This window comes from Homo sapiens, chromosome 5 (assembly GCF_000001405.40).
Source record: "Homo sapiens chromosome 5, GRCh38.p14 Primary Assembly".
NCBI classification, from domain to species: Eukaryota; Metazoa; Chordata; class Mammalia; order Primates; family Hominidae; genus Homo; species Homo sapiens.
Genome location: NC_000005.10, coordinates 168,561,949 through 168,585,807, shown reverse-complemented (window position 1 = coordinate 168,585,807; position 23,859 = coordinate 168,561,949). Strand labels below are relative to the sequence as shown.

Sequence of the window (23,859 nt, the reverse complement as noted above, 5' to 3'; positions counted from 1 at the left end):
AAGTATGTTCTTGACCATTTAATTAGAGACAGAATCCGCTGTTAAAAGCTTCATCTGGGCTTTGAAGGGTGTGTAGGGTGTGAGTGTATGTGTGTGTGTGTGCATGTGTGCATGTGTGCGTGTGTGCGCATGTGTGTGTGTGTGTTTATTCATACCAGGAGACCTATAGTCATCATTAGGTACAACTCACCACCTGTCTCTGTGGATACCCGCTCAGTAAAGGCAAAATGAAGATGTGTCAGGTCTCCTCTATCATTTTGCATGATGGGCTGGATTTATTGTGTTTCATAGACAATAAATATTGAGACAAGAAGACAGTCTCTTGGCCCCTTTAGATGCTTTTCCCAGCTCCTGCATTCACTCTGCCAGGAATGGGTTTTGAGGACATGCTAGAAAAGAGAGAAAATGCAATTAACCAGATGGTGCTAGGAGGAGGGACTGGGGCTGAAAGCCAACGCAGGCTGCAGAAGGAAGAGTGGCCACAAACTAAAACAGGATGACCTGTCAGTTTCAATCACACTGGTGAAAACTTTAGGAAACACATGGCTGAACACATTTCACATTGGTCCTGAAAAGGGAACAGGTTCTTAGTGAACTGAACACACTTCACATTGGTCCTGAAAAGGGAACAGGTTCTTAGTGAAATTCAAAAAGTAGAGATGAAAGAAATCTCTGGGCTGGGCACCATGGCTCATGCCAGGGTGAGCAAAACTCTGTCTCAAAAAAATAAAAATAAAAAAACCAGGCACAGTGGCTCATGCCTGTAATCCCAGCACTTTGGGAAGCCAAGGCAGGCAGATCACCTGAGGTTAGGAGTTTGAGACCAGCCTGGCCAGCAAGGTGAAACCCCGTCGCTACTAAAAATACAAAAATTAGGGAGGCGTGGTGGCAGGCAACTGCAGTCCCAGCTACGCAGGAGGCTGCAGCAGGAGAATCGCTTGAACCTGGGAGGCAGATATTAGGCCGGGCACAGTGGCTTACGCCAGTAATCCCAGTAATCCCAGCACTTTGGGAGGCTGAGGCGGGCGGATCACAAGGTCAGGAGATCGAGACCAGCCTGGCTAACACGGTGAAACCCCACCTCTACTAAGAATACAAAAAATTAGCCAGGCATGGTGGTGGGTGCCTGTAGTCCCAGCTACTGGGGAGGCTGAGGTAGGAGAATGGCGTGAACCCGAGAGGCGGAGCTTGCAGTGAGCACAGATCATGCCACTGCACTCCAGCCTGGGCGACACAGCGAGACTCCGTCTCAAAAAGAGAAAAAAAAAATCTCCAACAGTCATCTCATTTTGCAGATGGGTAATTTGAAGCCCAGAGAGAAAAAGGACTTTCCCAGGGTCACACAGCAATTGTATGGCTGATCTGAGACAGGAATTCTCACTATTCAAAGTTCAGTGATTTTCTGGCATAACAGACCAAAGAGTAGTCTCATCTTTGAACAAACAGCAAATAGATGGTTAACTCTAGTAATATCACAGGTGTATAGCCTAACTTTTAAGCTAAGTCATCCATGTGTACACTCATCTCTATGGCCACAGAAACTAGCAAGAGCCTGTGCCCAAAACTTACCCAAATTTCTGTGGCTTCTAATTTCTAGCTCTTCTTCCTTTCAGACCATGGCCAGACTATCACAAGACATACGTATCAATTCCCCTTTGACTTCCAAGCTGATACTGTCAAAGAGAACCAGAAACAACCAAAAGATATATGTTGTCAGAGAACTTGGTGTGCCCATAAGATTTATAAAAGCAGCAGGTAAATCATATTAGATAGTGAGTATTCTTTGAAGCCATGTCAGATCAGAAATCACGACTCTCATCCAATAAAACTGTGGAAAACAGGACCATTCTAGAATATCTAAGGTTCTGTGTGGGATAGAGTAATAACAGGAAATAAAAGAGGAAGTGCAGGTTAAGTCTACCATTCAGGATTCTAACTTGCCAAGTCATATTCCTGGTAGCTCAGAAAGATGTTTCTATAAAAAACAAAACAAAACAAAACAAATAAAGGCCAGGCAAGGTGGCTCATGCCTGTAACCCCAACACTTTGGGAGGTGAAGGTGGGAGGATGGCTTGAAGCCAAGAGTTTGAGACCAGCCTGGGCAACAAAGTGAGAACCCATCTCTACAAAAAATTAAAAAATAAAAAAATTAGCCGGGTGTTTTGGTCCATGCCTATGGTCCCAGCTACTCGGGAGGCTGAGGCAGGAGGATCCCTTGAGCCCAGGAGTTGGAGACTGCAGTGAGCAATGATCATGCCACTACACTTCAGTTTGGGTGACAGAGTGAGATCTCGCCACTACACTTCAGCTCAGGTGACAGAGTGAGACCTCGTCCCTAAAAAAAAATTTTCTAAACAACAAACATAAAATCTGGAATCAAAATAGTAAATCAAACATAAAATCTAGAATCAAAATCTGGTCTGATTGGTGCCATGTGGTTCCTTATCTTTTACCTAATTAGACCTATGGTCTGATCCCAAATAATGACCTTAGGCAAAATGTCTAAATACAAAAGCTTTCTTCCTTTACTTTACAATAAGAATAACAATCCAAGGCCACGGCAGGTGGATCACTTGAGGTCAGGAGTTCGAGACCAGCCTGGTCAACATGGCAAAACCCCATCTCTGCTAAAAATACAAAAATTAGCCAGGCGTGGTGGCACACGCTGGTAATCCCAGCTACTTGGGAGGCTGAGGCAGGAGAATCACTTGAACCCAGGAGGCAGAGGTTGCAGTGAGCCAGGATCACACCACTGTACTCCAGCCTGGGGTACAGAGTGAGACTCCATCTCAAAAAAAAAAAAAAAGAATAACAATCCAAATAATAAACATAATCATTACTTACTGATCACTACATATATGCCAGATAATATGTTACATACATCATAGTCCATGTTCTGTTGCTTTTTTTTTTTTTTTTTTTGAGATAGAGTCTTGCTCTATTGCCCAGGCTGGAGTGCAGTGGTGCGATCTCAGCTCACTGCAAGCTCCGCCTCCCAGGTTCACGCCATTCTCCTGCCTCAGCCTCCTGAGTAGCTGAGGCTACAGGTGCCCGCCACCATGCCCGGCTAATTTTTTTTGTATTTTTAGTAGAGACGAGGTTTCACCATGTTAGTTAGGATGGTCTCGATCTCCTGACCTCGTGATCCCCCCATCGCGGCCTCCCAAAGTGCTGGGATTACAGGCATGCGCCACTACACCCAGCCTTTTCTGCTGCTTTTAACAGAACACTTGAAACTGGGTATGCTATGTTGCTGGGGCTGGTCTGAAACTTCTGGGTTCCCAAAGTGATGGGATTACAGGCATGAGCCATCATGCCTGGTCTCACCATGTTGCCCAGGCTGGTCTCAAACTCCTGGGCTCAAGCAATCCACCTGTCTTTGACTCTTATGGTGCTAGGATTACAGGTATGAGCCACTGCACCTGGCCTCCGCCTCTTTTAATAAAGGTAAAAGATAAGGAACCACATGGCACCAATCAGACCAGATTTTGATTCTAGATTTTACGTTTGATTTACTATTACTCTTTTAATAAAGCCTCTTTTAATAAATCCATTAACTCCTTAAACCATCAATCCATGAATGAATTAATACACTCATGAGGGGAGAGTCCTCACGATCCATTCACCTCTTAAAAGCCCCACCTCTCAATACTGAATTCAGACCATGTTCGAATACAAACATTCAGACCGCCATGTTACCTTATTCGCATTTTTCACTTAATCCCCATCTCAAACCCGTGAAATGTAGGCATTATTATTTCCAACAAGAATCAGAGAGACGGCCAGGTACAGTGGCTCATGCCTGTAATCCCAAAACTTTGGGAGGCTGAGGCAGAGGATTGCTTGAAGCCAGCCAGCAGGTCAAGACCAACCTGGGCAGCAAAGTGAGACCCCATCTCTACAGAAAATAAAAAACTTAGCTGGACATGGTAACACATGCCTACAGTCCCAGCTACTCAGGAGGCTGAGACTACAGTGTAGCCACCGCCCCACCCACAGATTGCTCTTTGAGGTTACGGTGAGCTTTGCTCATGCCACTGCACTCCAACCTGGGAAACACAGTGGGACCGCATCTTAAAAAAAATTTTTTTTTTAAAGAATTAGAGAGATGAAGTAATTTGCCCATGTTTGTTAACAAGTGATAGAACCAATATTTGAATTTGTGTGAATTCTTCTTTAACTTTTAACATTTTTATTTTATTTTGGAGATGGGTCTCACTATGTCACCTAGCCTGGAGTACAGTTGTTACCAGAAAGGGATCCCGATCCAGATCCCAAGAGAAGGGTCTTGGATCTCTTCCAAGAAAGAATCTGGGGAGAATCCAGAATGTAAAATGAAAGCAAGTTTATTAAGAAAGTAAAGGAATAAAAGAATGGCTACTCCATAGGCAGAGCAGCAGCATGGGCTGCTCAGCTGCTTATACTTATTATTACTTCTTGATGATATGCTAAACAAGGGGTGGATTATTCACGAGTTTTCCAGGAAAGGGGCGGACAATTCCCAGAACTGAGGGTTCCTCCCCTTTACAGACCATATAGGATAACTTCCTGATGTTGCCATGGCTTTTGTAAACTGTCATGGCACTGGTGGGAGTGTCTTTTAGCATGCTAATGCATTATAATCAGCATATAATGAGCAGTGAAGACGACCAGAGGTTCCTTTCATTGCTATCTTGATTTTGGTGGGATTTGGCCAGCTTCTTTACTGCATGCTGTTTTATCAGCAAGGTCTTTGTGACCTGTATCTTGTGCCAACCTCCTATCTCACCCTGCAACTAAGAATGCCTTAAACTCCTGGGAATGCAGCCCAGTAGATCTCCGCCTTATTTCATCCAATCCCTATTCAAGATGGAGTCGCTCTGGTAAATGCCTCTGACACAGTTGCTATTCACAAACTCTATCACATACAGCCTCAAATTCCTGGGCCTCCCACCTTAGTCTCCCAAATAGCCGGGACTGCAGACACACACCACTGCGCCCAGCAAGTTTTTTTAGTTTTTAATCATTGTATTTCAAAAAGTAGTTGGGAGGATTAAATTTAAATTTTAAAAGTAAGGCACTTTGCAAAGTGTCAGCCCTTGGTATGTACTCAATAAATGGTAGCTTGTGTCCTCTCCTGTCCTTCTTCACATCCCTTGGCTTATCATCTGCAAGAAGGGGCAGTAAGGCTCTTTGGTAAGCGGGTTTCTTTGACTGGAATGCCCAATCCTCTACTGCCAACCCTCTATCCATCTATTGTAAAAACTACAGAATTCCTGGCCATCTAACTGGGCAACAAAAGTGAAGGCCAAGAGAAGATACCCAATGCCATCTTCTCCCATTCCAGCTGGAGGACTAAGACTCTAGGAGGCAAGGGGAAAGGGTGTCCTGGCTTTACTGTGAGAACTGGAGCAACTAAATTTTCTTCTCTGGGAGTCAGTTTTCCCTTTAGAAGGAGAGAGCTGGGCTGGAGGGCCCCAGGGGAATATGGATCGGTGGCAAAAAGAATGCTCAGCAAGCAATTTAACTCCTCAGACCGTGCCCCATCTTCAAAATGAGTGACAATAAAATGAATAATTGCACGTGGTCCACAAGGCCCCTGAATTTAAGTAAATCACACAAAGTGCTTAGCAGAGTCCCATGAACATAACGCGTTCCATAGATGTTACCTCTATTCCTGCTATTGTCATCATTCCGACCCTAACATTCAAGGTGTCTCTATTAAGCAAAAGGATTCCTTTGTGAATAATTTTAATCCGCCAATGTACTCAAGGGTCTATCTTAAGCACAGCTCTAGAGCCCTGATTGTAGCGCTTTCCATGGCCTGACGACCAGCTTTCCTGTCTCAAGGGGAAATCTGAGAATGGCCGAACAGCCATGACAGTCCTCTCGAAGAGTTCATTCCCCCTTCTCTCCGCGACCTGCTGAGGTCTGAGCCCGACTTCCCCAGCACGCCCATCTCAGTCACCATTGGTCGCCTCCTCGCTGGCGTGACTAAGACCCAGCCCTCTTCTCGCTGGGACCACTCTGAGGCGATCTGCGGAAGCTGAGGGGCCTCGGAGGAGGGGCCGCGATGCATCTCGGGCTTTGTAGTCCACCTGCACAACTACAGCCAGAGAGCGGGGCCTCACGAACCGGAGAACTACAATCCCCAGCAGCCGGGCGGAAGCGGAGCGAGGGGGGGCTCGCGTCACGTGGGCGTTCGGCCTGGGCGGGCTATTTCTCAGTGCGGCGGCGGCGGCGGTGGCGGCGGCTCCGGGGACCGGGGCCTTTTGTTTGGAGCGGCTGCGGGGGGGCCCCGGAGCGGCGAGGCCGGCGGCCTTCCCCAGCTTGCTCGGTCCCGGCCACCCCTCGCGGGGGTGGGGGGCCGCCCCCTGGGCCGGGCATCTCCTCAGGCGCCGCCGCCCCGCCCTAGGCCGGCCCCGCCCGGCCTGAGGGGAGGAACCGGCCGGGCCTCGCCGCGCGGCCCAGCCACCTCCGGAGTCGCCGCCTCTGCTCTCAGTGCCCCGGATCGGAGGCCGTCCATCGCCCCTCGGGCCGACGCCATGAAGATCAAAGATGCCAAGAAACCCTGTAAGACGGGGGCTGGGGCCCGCCAGGTTGGGAGGGCACCCTTGGGCCCCGTCTGAAAGCCCCTTGGCTGGGCGGTCGGCTTCCAAGCCCGTCGCTCCTCGCCGGCGCTTCGTCCGGTATGGGGGCGGAGGGACCATTTGAGCCACGAGTTCGAGGCTTCCGTCCTCCCCATCCCCCTATTCATGCATGGTGAATGCCTGCCGCCCCCTAGCCTTTCCTCCCACTTTCTCTTCGAGATCTGGGAGGTGCCAGAGGGAATTTCTGATTCTGATTTTTGTCAAACCAGACTAGTCTCCTCTCCCAGCTCCCCCTGAATTCAGGTTGAAAAGAGGCGGTCGCGGCTGTCAGGTTGCGCTGGCGGCTTTTAGCACCTGTTTTTAGGGATTTCCGGGCTTCCTGCTTGTGTCCTTGAAATGCCGGTGGGTTCCTGGGAGTTGTCACTGTTGTTACAGTTGGAGCTTTCAAACGTACGTGCATGCAGTCTGCCAGTGTGTAATTGCTTTGGCTTGTTTTTGTTTAGAATATCAACTAGTTCATGTTTGTTTTAGAAAACGCAGATAAACAAGAAAGATAAAGTCACCCGTATTCCCCGCACCCGGAGCGAACCGCTATTAATATTATGGTGAATACCCGTAGATATTTTTCTATGCATGTACTTAAATTCTGACTATGCTTTTAGAAAGGTCGACTTTCATTTGCTTCCTTTTATGTTTAGTCTTTTAAAAACCTTTTATTCCAGTAATTGACTTATTTAATCACCCAGCCATTGTGATTGTCACTCTTTTTAAGTATAGCCTCCCAGAAGGACTAGGAACGTGGGGATTCATGCTCATCTTAGAGTCGTATTGATACTTTTGCTGTTTTTACAGTGTTTCATGTGATCTCTTTAACTGTTAAGAAATCCACAACTATAAAACAGGGCGCTGACACCTTCCCTGCCCGCCTATCGGGGTTCCTGTAAAACTCACCTGAGAGGCAACAAGCCAAAACCCTGTGAAAACTACAAATTCCTATATAACTGTAAGGTAATTTGGTCTTAACTTCACAGGTGAGGAAATTGAACTTAGCCCCAGAGTAACTTTTCCAAGCATGTACCAACCATGTGCTATGTGGTTCATAACTCTAAGGGGACTGACTCATAATACAGTGTTCTTTCTCTTGCACCCATAGAGCATTGTCTAAGTACTTTATCTGGTAGTTTCATCTGTTAATTAAAATTTTTAAAAAATTATTTATAACTGAATAGATCCTGTCATAGTTGTTCAAGAAATCTATAAAATAGTGATGTGAAGGCTTAAATGAAAAGTAATATAGAGAGACTTTAAATTTTCATTTGCTGAATTAAACTAATGCATCTTGAACAGGTGCAGTAATTAGAACACTTGGACATTTTCCCTCACGCATACGTTTTCTCTGCTTCTCTTAGAATTTCCATTTGGTGAACAGTGTATGACCAACTCAAATTCTGACTCTTGTGGTGGTGATTATTTTCTTTTGTCATGATAGTGATTTGATTACTTAGATTTGAACAAACTAATAATCAGGTATGAGTACTACCTCCTTCAAAGGTGTTTTAGGAGAGATTATAAAGATTATTATGAGAAGTTTATAAAATAGGGCTAGGCACGGTGGGTCACACCTGAAATCCCAGCACTTTGAGAGGCCGAGGCGGGAGAATCGCTGGAGGCCAGGAGTTCGAGACCAACCTGGGCACCATAGTGAGACCTCATCTCTACAAATAAATAAATAAAAAGATTAGCCGGGCATGGTGGCACACGCCTGTAGTCCCAGCCAAAGACTTAAAAATACACATTAGGTTGAGAAATTAGAGAATACCCCCTGTTTTTCCCCAAATAAGTTGATTATTACAACATTGTGGTATGTTGTGAGACCATTAATCTTAAAATTGAATCATGCTGAAAATCTGGTCAGTTACTATGGTGTAGAAGCCTAACATTTTTATATGTAAAAGGTAACTTTACTGTCTGTTGTTTGTAGTAAAAGTAAGGAACATGACGTTTTGTGTGTGGGAAAGAAGGTATTTCAACCATGAACTGTCCCAGATAATAAAAAATAAGGCTGGACACGGTGGTTTACACCTGTAATCCCAGCACTTTGGGAGGCTGAGTGGGGCAGATCACGAGGTCAGGAGTTCGAGACCAGCCTGACCAACATGGTGAAACCCCATCTCTACTAAAAATAGGAAAATTAGCCGAGCATGGTGGCACGCGCCTGTAGTCCAAGCTGTTCGGGAGGCTTGAGGCAGGAGAATTGCTGGAACCCAGGAGGCGGAGGTTACAGGGAGCCGAGATCACGCCACTGCACTCCAGCCTGGGCAACAGAGCAACACTCCGTCTCAAATAATAATAATAATAATAATATTAATATTATTTTAACTTTAAATCACTCAGGTTAACAAAAGATATATTTGTTTTGTTTTTGAATACCTGTATGGGGTTTTTTTTGGCATAATTAAAACATTTATTGATCACATAGTGTGTGTATGGCATTTTCTTTATGTGCATTGCATCATTTAACTGCATACTAGAAGAAGCTGTATATTATATTGGCTAAACAAGTGACCTTGGCTTCACATTATTTACCTAAGTGTTAGAAAATATTTCTTCTAAATACATTACCAATATCTTAACAGGTTATAAACCCGAATGCATATATTAACCAGAAGATTTAAAAAGGAATTAGTTTCATCCTCTAAATTGTGTAACTGGAAGATTAGCATTTGAAATTATGTGTTAATTCAACGCCAGGGGAAGGAAGGAGAAAGTCAATCCTGTGTTACTCTCTTCCCTGCCTGCCATGATTTCTTAGGGTACAGATTTTTAAGATTGTGTTTGGGTTACCTGTATAGCATGTAACTGGATTAACAAGGTGATAGTAAAAGGTGATACATGTATTTAAGTGTGGTGTGATGTAGGTTTTGAGTTTGTGCTTTATTAACCCAAGTAGTAAGGTACTTGAAATTTTTGTTAAGACCAGAGAAAATGGTATAGCATATATTTGTAGTTTGTGTCTGTGTAATTTGATTGGCCTGTTGTAAACTCAGTTGTAATATGAGTCATCACTCCCAGTAGATAGTTGGGGTAGTAGTTTCTAATATAGCTCCCCTTAGAAATAACTAATTTACTAAAGAAAAAACCACTTACCTGAAGCTGTCCTAAGGAATCAGTACTGAGGGTCTGAAGATGATTATTTTCTTAAGTCTATTTCAGAACAAAACCCATTTTTGTTTGGAATGATTATTGAGAATAGTGAAATGTCTTATCCAGGAAGTTGAAGCGTTATCTAGAATATACCAGCATACATGCTAACTTTATAATTTTGTTCTTTTAAAATACCCTATGTTTCGAGCGTTTTTCATGTTGGTTTCCCTTTATGCCTAAAGAACAATTAAGTACTGATTTAGTTTAGTATCTCCCCCCTCCCCTATTTCTTTTTATTTTTTTTCTTTTGAGACGCGATCTCACACTGTCACCCAGGCTGGAGTGCAGTGGCACGATCTCAGCTCACTGCAACCTTGGCATGCCAGGCTCAAGCAATCCTCCCCCCTCAGCCTCCCCAGTAGCTAGAACTACAGGTGCTTGCCACTATGCCCAGCTAATTTTTTTGTTTTTGGCAGAGATGGGGTTTTGCCATGTTGCCCTTGCCAGGCTGGTCTTGAACTCCTTAGCTTAAGTGACCCTCCCGCTGGGATTACAGGCATGAGCCATGTTCCTGGCCAGGATCCCTTTAGTCTGAAATCTGCATGGTACCAGTAGCAATTAAATAGTTATGTTAGTGTTCTCTGCTTCCTTAGCAAACACTTAGTAGGATACTGAGTTTATCACACCTTGTTAGAAATTAACAGTCTGCTCTTGTGGCTAGATAGCTTCTGCTGTTTAGTATCTTAAAAGGTGATTGGACAAGAAGATTTCTCCTTTTGCATATATAATGCGTCTGGTAAGACATAGCACTTCATCCTTGTAGTAGTTTGAGATATTTTTGCTACATATGGGGAACTAATGTCAACTCTCATAAGACCACTTGAGACATAGAATAAGAGCTATTATTTTGTTAAAGGCATAATGAACAGGTCATGAGAGATTCTAATAATTCTCACAGTCTGGGACTGTATATTGACCATCATCAAAGTGCTTATATTTGTGTAATGTGTGTTTTGTTTTGCTTTTTAAATGTGTATTTTGGTTCTTTTTTTTCACCTTAGCAAGGAATGTTTTATTCTGAAAAAAAAAATGTTAAGGTTATATGCCGTAAGTAGGCTGCTTGTGCACTGATGACCTACTTTTCAAGGGTCTCTTGGCTAGAAGCAACAAAGCTATAAATATGTAGATACTTGCTTGATTTCCTAGGAAACTGGTATTTTTCTCTTTTTTTTTGAGATGGAGTCTCGCTTTTGTCGCCCAGGCTGGAGTGCAGTGGTATGATGTCAGCTCACTGCAACCTCTGCCTCCTGGGTTCAAGCAATTCTCCTGCCTTAGCCTCCCAAGTAGCTGGGATTACAGGCACACGCCACCAAGCCTGGCTAATTTTTGTATTTCTGGTAGAGACGAGGTTTCACCATGTTGCCCAGGCTTGTCCGAACTCCCGACCTCAGGTGATCCACCCACCTCGGCCTCCCATAGTGCTAGGATTACAGATGTGAGCTACCGCACCAGGCCAGGAAACGGGTGTTTTTCTTACCTCATGGAACTATTAGGTGGACCTGTGGTTGTACTTAATGTCTGTATATTTACTCATATTTTCACTGCAAATAAGTAAAGTTTGAGCTTCATGCCCTCCCCTTATTTTGGTGACATATATCAATCATAAGTATTTTGTAGATAATACTGGAAAATATATGTTGGTAATTAGACCACTTACTAAAAAAACAAACAACCCCATCAAAAAGTGGGCGAAGGACATGAACAGACACTTCTCAAAAGAAGACATTTATGCAGCCAAAAAACACATGAAAAAATGCTCACCATCACTGGCCATCAGAGAAATGCAAATCAAAACCACAATGAGATACCATCTCACACCAGTTAGAATGGCAATCATTAAAAAGTCAGGAAACAACAGGTGCTGGAGAGGATGTGGAGAAATAGGAACACTTTTACACTGTTGGTGGGACTGTAAACTAGTTCAACCATTGTGGAAGTCAGTGTGGCGATTCCTCAGGGATCTAGAACTAGAAATACCATTTGACCCAGCCATCCCATTACTGGGTGTATACCCAAAGGACTATAAATCATGCTGCTATAAAGACACATGCACACGTATGTTTATTGCAGCATTATTCACAGTAGCAAAGACTTGGAACCAACCCAAGTGTCCAACAATGATAGACTGGATTAAGAAAATGTAGCACATACACACCATGGAATACTATGCAGCCATAAAAAAGGATGAGTTCATGTCCTTTGTAGGGGCATGGATGAAATTGGAAATCATCATTCTCAGTAAACTATCGCAAGAACAAAAAACCAAACACCGCATATTCTCACTCATAGGTGGGAATTGAACAATGAGAACACATGGACACAGGAAGGGGAACATCACACTCTGGGGACTGTTGTGGGGTGGGGGGAGGGGGGAGGGATAGCATTGGGAGATATACCTAATGCTAGATGACGAGTTGGTGCAGCGTACCAGGATGGCACATGTATACATATGTAACTAACCTGCACATTGTGCACATGTACCCTAAAACTTAAAGTATAATAATAATTTTTAAAAAAAGATTTAAACAAAGGAGTGTATCATAATTGAGAATTTATGTCTCTTCTGTTTGTGCTGCCTTCTTTGTGCCTTTTTTTTTTTTTTTTTTTTTTTTTTTTTTGCCTTGCTGAGGTTCTGCATCTCGTGCTTTTTAATAGTGATTATTTTTCTGGCATAAAGAAATTAATTTCTGAAGTCTATTGAATTGAAAGGATTTCAGTGTAAAAGGTGGCCATTACCAGCCACCAACTTTTCTTTTTTCTTAATTGAAGTTATAGCAGGGCTGAGTTCTCTTTCAGTCCCTGCTTTGTTGATTTTAAGGAGAAAATTGTTATAACTGATATATGCTAGAAATAATAGAAGGAGCCTGCAATTTTCTGGTTTGCATATTATGGTTCCTATGAAGTCATCATCTGCAGGATAGCTCTCTAGTTTACCTTTCTTTAAAAACAGCACTCAAGGAACGAACACATTTCTAGTAGGCTAGATTTGGACCTTGTGCCTTCTGTTTAGTTTCTCAATTCATCCAAAACCGTATCCAGGCCATCACCAATCATTCTATACAACAAATGCTCCTTCTAACAACCCCACAATATCACCCCTTACCACAAAATCTTTCTTCAGTTGAATCTCTCCCACACTAGGTTCCCACGCCACCCCTAATCCCACTCGAAGCAGCCCTGAGAAACACCGCCCATTATCTCTCCATACCACCCCCAAAGTTTTTTGCTGCTCCAACACTTCACCACTATTTTGTTTTGAGTTTCTTATTAATATAAGAAGACAGGAACATCAGGCCTCTGAGCCCAAGCTAAGCCATCATATCCCCTGTGACTTGCACATATACATCCAGATGGCCTGAAGCAACTGAAGATCCTCAAAAGAAGTGAAAATAGCCTTAACTGATGACATACCACCATTGTGATTTGTTTCTCCCCCACCCTAACTGATCAATGTACTTTGTAATCTCCCCCACCCTTAAGAAGGTTCTTTGTAATTCTCACCACCCTTGAGAATGTACTTTGTGAGATCCACCCCCTGCCCTCAAAACATTGCTCCTAACTCCACTGCCTATCCCAAAACCTATAAGAACTAATGATAATCCCACCACCCTTTGCTGACTCTCTTTTCGGACTTAGCCCGCCTGCACCCAGGTGAAATAAACAGCCTTGTTGCACACACACACACACAAGGTTAGGAGATCAAAACCATCCTAGTCAACATGGTGAAACCCCTTCTTTACTAAAAATAAAAAAATTAGTTGGTCGTGGTAGTGCACACCTGTAGTCCCAGCTACTTGGGAGGCTGAGGCAGGAGAATTGCATGAACCCAGGAGGTGGAGGCTACAGTTAGCAGAGATCATGCCACTGCACTCCAGTCTGGGCCACAGAGCAAGACTCCATCTCAAAAAAAAAAAAAAAAAAAAAGGCCTATGTTGCTAGGCACTCAACAAAACTGAGAAAATATAGTCACTTTCTTCTGCTTATGTTGCTTAGTTATTTATACCTGTTTATAGTTGACGTGATGAAGTATTGTGTTTGAGCTCAAAGCTGCCCCTGGCTTCCCAAATTATGGTCTAATGTCATTTTACTTTTTTAAAAAACTTTTTTTCCTACACTGGAAGTACCTTTCCAGAATACAGAATACTGTTTCTTAAGATTATCTGTAATGTAGCTCCAGATCTCTAATTTGAGTTTCAAATATAAAGACGAACGAGCTATTTCTCCAAAAGAAGATAATGAGGATTACTCCTTCCTCGTATTAAAAATTATATACTAATTTTAGTAAATGTGTAAATTATAAAATGGAGAAATGTATAGACTTCTTTCTCATTGAATTATATGTTCCTGGTTTTGTAATGCACACACATATCAAATAAAATGAGAAAGTAGAATTTTAGAAATAATTTTTATTGGCAACTTTTACATAAAAACTGTTAAATATATTTTGTTGCCAGACATTTTAATCCATGTATCTTGAGTATTAAACTCTTTTTGAGTCTCTGTCATAATAGTTAAGATCCTAGAGAATAGAAATATATATTTTTAGGATGGAATCTTGGCACTGTCACTTAACAGTTTGACCTCAGGCAAGTTTGTAATTGCTTTGCCTCCTTGTCTAAGTGGTACACTTAATAGAGCAATCTTATAGTGGGGGTACTGAGGATTAAATGAGCCTGTGTCTGACAGGTAGTGAGCACTCAGTAAATGTTAGCTGTAATTCTATGAAGAACTGAATCAGTTGTGCTTTAAACTAATTCTAAAAATTTGAATTTTGTAATTCATAATATTATAATACTGACTTCCTTGGGAACAATTGGAAAATACTCCTTTGTGTCAGTATAAGGATTGTGGCCAATAAATATAAGGAAATCACGTTGTAAAACTGAATTTCATAACCTGAAGGAATCAGGTGACCAAAGCCAGTCATTTTCAAATGCCATTTAGATCTGACTATAGTATAATCTTCCGAATATATACAGTATATAATTTTTAATAGCATCCCGTATCTCACTCTTAAAGATTATTGTCCAGTGCCTCTGAGGTAAGACGTCAGGAATCTGTTTTTAAATGATAAGGGTTTTGTAAATGGTCTATACCATTTTTTTCAAGAGGGTGTTACTTAAGATGGCCTCTATCGCTGGCCTTACTTTACTGGCACATCTTAAGCAGCTCATTTATATTATCCTGTACACTGCCAAAGTAGAAAGTTTGTTTGCTTTCTAATTTGAAGGTAGACTGTGCCACTCTCTTACTTAGAACGTCAGTAGTGTTCCCGTTGTCTAAAAAGTTCAAGTCTAAGCTCTTTAGCTAAGTGTGCAAGGTCCTTCATCTATTTCCTTAGACTTCCCCCTTTTTCTAGTTCCTTAACCGTACTGACGTATGCCTCTTCACCTTTGGATGGGGTTTTTTGTTGTTTTAGTATTTTCTACGGTCAAACACAGGCATAGGGTTTATCATTCCTTCTATTAATCTATACTTATATAAAATTTTATTTTGTGTATCTCGTTCTTAATGTGTTTTATTTATATTCCCCTGCTACATTGAGCGCTCCTTCAGGGCAGGTATTTTATTCATATGCATTCCTGTTTCCTGGTGTAGAGGAGATGATGATTTTCTTTCTTTCTTTCTTTCTTTCTTTTTTTTTTTTTTTGAGACGGAGTCTTGCTCCGTCGCCCAGGCTGGAGTGCAATGGCGCGATCTCTGCTCACTGCAAGCTCCACCTCCCGGGTTCACGCCATTCTCCTGCCTCAGCCTCCAGAGTAGCTGGGACTACAGGCGCCTGCCACCACGGCCGGCTAATTTTTTTGTATTTTTTTAGTAGAGACGGGGTTTCGCTGTGTTAGCCAGGAAGGTCTCGATCTCCTGACCTCGTGATCCACCCGTCTCGGCCTCCCAAAGTGCTGGGATCACAGGCGTAAGCCACCGCGCCCGGCCTGGAGATAATGATTATTTACTGAAGGGAATTGCTTTTTGGGTTTGTTTTTTATGACAGGATCTCACTCTGTTACCTAATCTGCAGTGTAGTGGTGCAAACATGGCTCACCGCAGCCCCAGCCTCCTGGACTCAAGTGATCCTCCTGCCTCAGCCTCCTGTAACTGGGACTACAGGTGCATGCTGCCACGCCCAGCTAATTTTTAAATTTTTTGCGGAGACAGGATCTTGTTATATTGCCAAGGCTGGTTTCAAACTCCTGTTTTCAAGCGATCCCCCCTACCTCAGCCTCCCAAAGTATTGGGATTTCAGGTGTGAGCACCATACCTGGCAGGAATTGCTTTTTAAGGAGGTGCTTTTCTCCTGGGTTACTTGAAGTGATTATAGGCCAGTTTTATTGTATTAAAATGCTTATAGAAACAAAGATTTTCATGCCCTTAGTGTTGACCTATTTATTGAAAAAAGAATGATCTGAATTTTTTCTCATCCCTGGAGCACATGGTATTTAGTAAATGAAAAGGGGTTGCCTACCAGGCCAGGAATTAAAAGATCCTGGGTCAACTCTAAGCACCCTATACGTTTTTAGAAAATATATTAATAAAACTTTGAAGGGCCGAGCGCGGTGGCTCACGCCTGCAATCCCAGCACTTTGGGAGGCAGAGGCAGGCGGATCACAAGGTCAGGAGATCGAGACCATCCTGGCTAACACGGTGAAACCCCGTCTCTACTAAAAATACAAAAAAAAAAAAAATTAGGCAGGCGTGGTGGTGGGCACCTGTAGTCCCAGCTACTCGGGAGGCTGAGGCAGGAGAATGGCGTGAACCCGGGAGGCGGAGTTTGCAGTGAGCCAAGATCGCGCCACTGCACTCCAGCCTGGGCAACAGAGCGAGACTCCATCTCAAAAAAAAAAAAAAAAAAAAAACTTTGAAGGGAAAAAGGTAAGTTCCACATGGAACATGTGTCTTACCCAATACATATTATTGCCTGAATGCATGATTCAGAGTAAATGAAGTTTGTGGCTAACTGGTTTTTAATTTGTGTTTCTAAAATGGATATATATATATATATATATTTTTTTTTTTTTTTTTTTTTTTCCTCCCATAGCTTTCCCATGGTTTGGCATGGACATTGGGGGAACTCTAGTAAAGCTCTCGTACTTTGAACCTATTGATATCACAGCAGAGGAAGAGCAAGAAGAAGTTGAGAGTTTAAAAAGTATTCGGAAATATTTGACTTCTAACGTGGCATATGGATCCACCGGCATTCGGGATGTACACCTTGAACTGAAAGATTTAACACTTTTTGGCCGAAGAGGGAACTTGCACTTTATCAGGTTTCCAACCCAGGACCTGCCTACTTTTATCCAAATGGGAAGAGATAAAAACTTCTCAACATTGCAGACGGTGCTATGTGCTACAGGAGGTGGTGCTTACAAGTTTGAAAAAGATTTTCGCACAGTAGGTATCTTTTACTCAAAACTGAAAATTGATACCTGTTTTTAAATATGAGAGTAGGTTTCCATCTAGCATGTTCCTTAATTCTCCCTGCACATGCAGTGGGAAATATGTATCCATGGTTGCCTTTCACTTGGGGCGTTTTAAACACGTTTATGAGATGAGTAAAAATTGCCCGGATTTGGTCATGTTGTTGCACATAATATTTGGTAAAACTTGTTTAGGGCTGTACTACAAAGCTACAATAAAAAGGGGATTTGGGGACTTTAATGAATTTGGCAGTGTACAAAGCCAGATATAAATGAAGCTTGAATTATTTTCACTATTGTCCTACATTTACATGGTTTTTGGAATATTACTTATTCAAATAATATTAATCTTCCAGGGCCATCTCCTTCCCAAACCCTAAGTCTGGAAACCAATGTCTTTTGGTTAGTATAATGGACACCTGAATGAAAATCTGTTACCCTTTTTTTTCTGTTTTTATGCTGTTAATCCTGCCATGTTCCTGTGTCAAATGGGGTGATTTGAATGGATCTGGCAGGAGAACTATGAGTATTGGTTTGAGTTATGTGCTGTTAGCAGTTTGCCATCTTCTAGTCTTTTCCATTAGAATGAGAGTTCAAAGAGTGGTTTGCCAAGCTTCTAGTCTTTTCTATTAGAATAAAGAATGGCTCTGTTTAGGACCACTGAAATTTGTTTTTCTTGAAAATGTAAATGTGAATAATTTAATTTCTGAAAATCATAAGAAAATACTGTTAATGGAATATAAAGGCTGACGTGGGAGGATCACTTGAGGCTAGGAGTTGGAGACCAGCCTGGGCAATATAGTGGGACCCCGTCTCTACAAAAAATAAAAAAATTAGCTCAGCATAGTGGCCTGTGCTTGTAGTCCCAGCCACTCAAGAGGCTGATGAAGTGGGAGGATTGCTTGAGCTCTTGAGATTGAGGCTGCAGTGAGCTGTGATTGAGCCATTGCACTCCAGCATGGGTGACAGTGAGACCCTGTCTCAGAAGGAATATAAATAACTTAAATGGCTCATAGAAGCGAGACCCATATAATTTGAGGTAAAGATCTGTAGTACTGTATGAAAAGAGGTGCCTTGGGAACACAGAGGAGTAACAACAGCTAGAGAGTTGAAGAGGTTCCCAGAGGAAGTGATATCTAAGCTGCAATGTTTTATAAACGGTGTCTTATAATACGCTTTTTACTAACCTGAAATGATGAATGTAATCATTTCAAACTAGTACTCAAACTATAATATAAAGACAGGAGATTAAGGTATCAGTTATTAATCAGAAATTAATCTATCCGTGGGTAGATTAACAAACAGTATGATCATTCCAGAGGACATCATGAAGTAGTTATATGCTTGCACCTATGCATAGATTGATCATGAATACCAAAGCTACACATGCCAGATTGATATGGTATGTTCTGTTGGAAAATAAGATACCATAAATGGCATTGCTGTTGGTGACATGACCCTCCAACATGCTAAACAAACACTTGGTAAAATTCCAAACAGTAAGAAGTACAATTTTCCCTTGCTTTATGTGGTGGTTCAATTCCTAGCAAATTTAGTATATATTTAAAACTACGTGGGTTGGGCACAGTGGCTCACGCCTGTAATTCCAGCACTTTGGGAAGCCAAGGTGGGCGGATCACTTGAGGTTAGGAGCTGGAGACCAGCCTGACCAATGATGGTGAAACCTCATCTCTACTAAAAATACAAAAATTAGCCAGGCGTGGTGGCGGGCGCCTGCAATCCCAGCTACTTGAGAGGCTGAGGCGGAGAATCGCTTGAACCCACGAGGTGGAGGTTGCAGTGAGCCGAGATCATGCCACTGTACTCCAGCCTGAGTGACAGAGCTAGACTCTGTCTCAAAAATGAATGAATGAATGAATGAATGGAGTGACTGAATCCATAGGACGAATACTTTTGTATTTGTATACACAGACAGATAGGTAAAATAACTTTGTTATTCTCTAGCCTCAGATAATTATAAATAATTTTCCTACTGCCACTATAAAAATGACTGGCAGAACACTCAAAGATAATGCATAGATGGGATAATTTTTTGGTCTGCAGAAATGTCACACCCATTAAAGATGTCTGGCATCACAAGTCCCTGCCCACTAAATGTCAGTTTGGTCCTTCCTTCCTCCCCATCATTTAGAAAACTAGCAGTGAGGTGATACCACCCTCACTGAGGACCAGTGGACTAGATGAAATCCCGAAAGAGATTCTGACATGAAACAAAATGAAAATGTGGGGGTCATAGACCATTTTTAATTTTTGTAAAGTAATACAGGAAAATCATATAGTTGAGTGTTTTTGAATGTCATCCTTTTTTGTTTTTGTTTGTTTGTTTTAACAGATTGGAAACCTCCACCTGCACAAACTGGATGAACTTGACTGCCTTGTAAAGGGCTTGCTGTATATAGACTCTGTCAGTTTCAATGGACAAGCCGAGTGCTATTATTTTGCTAATGCCTCAGAACCTGAGCGATGCCAAAAGATGCCTTTTAACCTGGATGATCCCTATCCACTGCTTGTAGTGAACATTGGCTCAGGAGTCAGTATTTTAGCAGTCCATTCCAAAGACAACTATAAACGAGTGACTGGGACAAGGTAGTGACCTTTTTGGTTGTATTGCTGCATTCACATTGTTTTATACACAGAAGTTATGAAATCAGTATAATAATGTCATTTTCACCAGTAAAAGAGCATGTATTTGCACAACAGCAAAAAAAAAAAATATATATATATATATATTTTTTTTTTTTAAGTGAAAGAGGGTGCCATGTTGCCCAGGCTGCTCTTGAACTTCTGAGCTCAAGCAATCTGCCTGTCTCGGCCTCCCAAAGTACTGGGATTACAGGCATGAGCCACTGCTCCCAGCCAACAGATAATGTATTTTTATAAGATGTGTATGTCAAGACTCAAACTGAAATTATTAAATGTTTATTAGTCAGCATCAGTTGGGATCAAAATTTCCATAATGGTAAAGTGAATTTTTATCTAGAATGAGTCTGGTAACGTTTTTTCTAGAATTTAACTGGAGCATTTACTTGGAAGCAACAGTGTTCTATTGATTTTAAACTTTATTATGTTTATATTTTGTTCTTTTTTCCAAAGCATTTTTCTTCTTTACCTATTTTTTGACTTTTTAATGGATATTAATATATGTAAACCCTTAAACTGCAGTACTGGGGAACATTGTAATTTATTCTTATAGGATGAATTAATGTGATTTCTTTTTGTGATAACATTAATGTTCCCAAATAGCCCACATACTTTTCTGTAATACCTGAAATACGAATGAGAAATAAGATATAAAACTCATGATTCTTTTATGTATTTTATCAACTTTTACAGAGAGGTGAAGATTCCAGTTTAAGGAAGAAAGATTTTCAAATACTTTAGATTAATTTGTGAAAAAAACTCATTTTAATTTTAAAGTAGTAATTCTGTTTAAATTATACTTAATTAGTACTTTATTTTTATGGTGGTTAAAAGTTCACCTCTGTTGTAATTCTCTATGCCAAAGAATTGTACACTGCTATTGCCTTCTTCGGTTAACTCTAAAAGAAGTTCAGTCTGTTAACTAAATCCAACAGTGATTCAGGGGTAGAACTTGCTAGAAATTTAGATGAGACTAGGGAGCAAAGGTTTACAGTTTAGGAATTAGATATGATTTCATTCTGTGAGCATATCCAGAAGAATAATAGAAGCAAATAAATTTCTGTAATTGACATGTTGGCCAGCTGGACATAAATTTACTCATTGTATTTATGTGTAGGTCATGTGAAATATTAGTGTATCATATTGAATTGATTTCATCCATGTCAGGCCAAGTAAAGAAGCCTTTCCCAAAATCATTTCTTGGAAACGATTTAAAATTACAAAGATGGGCATGGTAGTTCATGCCTGTAATTCTAACACTTTGGGAGGCCAAAGTGGAGGATTGCTTGAGACCAGGAGTTAAGACCAGCCTGGGAAACATAGTGAGACCCCCATCTCTACAAAAATATATACATATATATTAGTCCAGTGTGGTAGTGTGCATTGTAGTCTAGCTGCTGCGGAGGCTGGAACAGGAAGATTGCTTGAGCCCAGGAGTTCAAGGATACATTAGGCTATGATCATGGTCACTGCACTCCAGCCTGAGGGACAGAGTGAGACCTTGTCTCAAAAGAAAAATTACAGATTTTCTCTTTGTAATTAATATGGTACTGATTTTTAACATTTATTCCTTTTTAATGCACACACAACAATTTATCTTTGGTAACTACAGAGTGTAAGGTATTAGGTGAAGACTTTGGGAGAGATTTAATAGGTCTTTCCTTTCCTCATGTTTCCACCAAGTGATTTTTTTCTTTGGTTTATTCTTTGATCTAACAAGTTTGGTTTTACTAAACAATTTTTGTTGCCTTCGTTATGTTATTTCAGCACTCAGCATTAGTCATAGGTTTTTTTTCTGTGTGTTCATTGAATACATGAATGATCCACCCTTTTACTTTAGAGAAAGAATATAATGTATAAATGCAACTTAGCAAGTTTCTTTATTTTCTTTAGCCTTGGAGGGGGTACCTTTCTGGGTTTATGCAGTTTATTGACTGGCTGTGAAAGTTTTGAAGAGGCTCTTGAAATGGCATCCAAAGGTGATAGCACACAAGCTGACAAGCTGGTCCGTGATATTTATGGAGGAGATTATGAAAGATTTGGTTTGCCAGGTTGGGCTGTAGCATCTAGGTAAGTTTAACATTTGTGTTATTTAAGTTACAGAAGTTAAGTAATTCAAGTTGCTTATGTTTTTGGAAAGCAATGTAACAGAAAGTTGTAAGGGTGCTTTCTCTTATCCAGTTTAGGTTCCAAGTTTTGAACATTGATGTCATTTAAAAATTAAGTATACATTAAGAAGTTTACCCTGAGTGCACCTTGTAAGAAACTTTTTTTTTTTTAATTTTTGAGTGTCTTTCCAGTGTTTATGCAAATACAAATACATATTTTTACTTTTCTCCCCATATACAAAAGGTAATCTACCATTATATGGCATACTATATATACTCTAAAGTATCCATATAGAAATCTTTACATGTTGTTGACCTTATTTTATACAGGTGTAGGATAAATTCCCAAAAGTTGGATTGCAAATGCATTTTTGAGATATTGTTAATTATGCAAAAGAGCGGTACTGTTTTTCACTCTCACCAGCGGTAAATGAAAGTGCCTGTTTCACCAGTAGAGTGCTAACTTTTGCATTTTTGCTAATCAGATGGAGAAGTGGTATCTTAATGTAATTTTAATTTACATTTCTCCTACCAACACTGGGGTTAAGAGCCTTGCATATTTTATTTTCTGTGAGTTATTGTTCATGTTCTACTTTTCTGTTGGATTGTTATACAGTTGAATTTATCAGTCTTTTCTTTTATGGCTTCTGGATATTGATTCATAGTAAGTAAGTCTTCTACATTCCAAATATATAAAGGAATAAACCCTTATTTTCTTCTGATATGTTAATGGTGGTATTTTTATACTTAAATCTTTGATTTACTTATAGTTTATCTTAGGGTATTTTGTGAGTTACAGATCATGCTTTCATTTTTCAGGTTTTTTGTTTTTTTTTCCAGAAGGCCCTAATGTCTAATAATCCATCTTTATTTCACTGATTTGAGATGGCTTTTTTACATATGCTGGCTTTTCATTCTGTTGATGTACCAGCATTATACTTTCAGCTTTATAGAGGCATAAAAAGTATGTTTTAATCTCTAGAAGGGCTAGTTTCACTCCTTTGCTTGATTTTCTGTATGAACTTGGCAAACATTTTCTCTATTACAAAAATGTTTTTGGAATCTCAGTAAGTTTACATATTAACTTAGGGACAAATGATATCTTTATAGTAAGTCTTGCTGTTGAAGAACTTAGCTTGTCTGTTTGTTTAAGGCTACTTTTGTGCCTTTCACACATTTAAAAAGGCCTCTCCAAATATGTCCATACATGGCTTTTTAAATTGATTCCTAAATATTTTAAATTTACTGTTCTGTTGTTTATCAGTCTTGTCTCCCATTATGCTTCCTAACCATTGTTGCTTGTGCACCCCAAGTTCTTTGTCAGGGAATCCAGTGCCCTTTGATAGTGGACTTTGTCTCACTCTTCAGTAATATCTCCTGCCTCTCCCTTGCATAGACGCTTCACTCCGACCAAACATCTTGTGATTTCATAGATGTTTTCATTTCTCATTTCTGTGTGCCTTTAACCTTTAGTTGCCTCTGCCTAAGATTTTTCTTCTCATTTTTTCTGGCTTTTTCTGGTCCTTTTGCTCTGAAAGCCCTGCCTCATACCTTCTTAACTTTTTTCTCTTACCACTGTAATAAAAGATATTTTTTTGTTTGTATTTCCAAGGTTAGCCTTTGTTTGGGGTTAGCCTTTGTTTGGATTTTTTCCCTGTTACTGTTAGCGCTTCTCTTGCTGTCTTTTGTATGTAGGCCTGCATTGTCCATTACAGTAGCCTCTAGCCACGTAAGGCACTTGGCTTATGAGTGCCACATGTTGAATTGATGATATTTGGATATATTGGCTTAAATGAAATGTACAATTAAAATTAATTTCACTTGTTTATTTTTACCTTTTTAATGTGGCTAATAGAACATATATGAAATTATATATTACTCGTATTTTATTTCTATTGGACA

General features: G+C 40.9%; 1 protein-coding gene across 1 annotated transcript in view, besides 4 other annotated features; it reads left to right on the top strand.

Moving 5' to 3' along the window:
- Positions 1,917-1,966: a silencer, noted in NCBI's record as "silent region_16599". NCBI's record gives its function as "represses an Ori minimal core promoter by ATAC-STARR-seq in GM12878 lymphoblastoid cells {active_cell/tissue: GM12878}" and the evidence as "EXISTENCE:reporter gene assay evidence [ECO:0000049][PMID:35858748]".
- Positions 6,009-6,552: an enhancer, noted in NCBI's record as "H3K27ac hESC enhancer chr5:168006261-168006804 (GRCh37/hg19 assembly coordinates)". NCBI's record gives its function as "activates a minimal SCP1, AML or CMV promoter by ChIP-STARR-seq in primed H9 embryonic stem cells {active_cell/tissue: H9 hESC(primed)}" and the evidence as "EXISTENCE:reporter gene assay evidence [ECO:0000049][PMID:30033119]".
- Positions 6,163-6,492: a silencer, noted in NCBI's record as "silent region_16598". NCBI's record gives its function as "represses an Ori minimal core promoter by ATAC-STARR-seq in GM12878 lymphoblastoid cells {active_cell/tissue: GM12878}" and the evidence as "EXISTENCE:reporter gene assay evidence [ECO:0000049][PMID:35858748]".
- PANK3 (pantothenate kinase 3) overlaps positions 6,440-23,859 on the top strand; it is a 30,874-nt gene continuing 13,454 nt past the window's right edge. Inside the window, exons 1-4 of the mRNA NM_024594.4 lie at positions 6,440-6,552; positions 16,810-17,162; positions 19,542-19,795; positions 21,743-21,919. Of these exons, the coding sequence (NP_078870.1) occupies positions 6,525-6,552; positions 16,810-17,162; positions 19,542-19,795; positions 21,743-21,919 (812 nt within the window). The 5' untranslated portion in view covers positions 6,440-6,524. The remainder of the gene's footprint in view (positions 6,553-16,809; positions 17,163-19,541; positions 19,796-21,742; positions 21,920-23,859) is intronic.
- Positions 6,643-6,712: an enhancer, noted in NCBI's record as "active region_23591". NCBI's record gives its function as "activates an Ori minimal core promoter by ATAC-STARR-seq in GM12878 lymphoblastoid cells {active_cell/tissue: GM12878}" and the evidence as "EXISTENCE:reporter gene assay evidence [ECO:0000049][PMID:35858748]".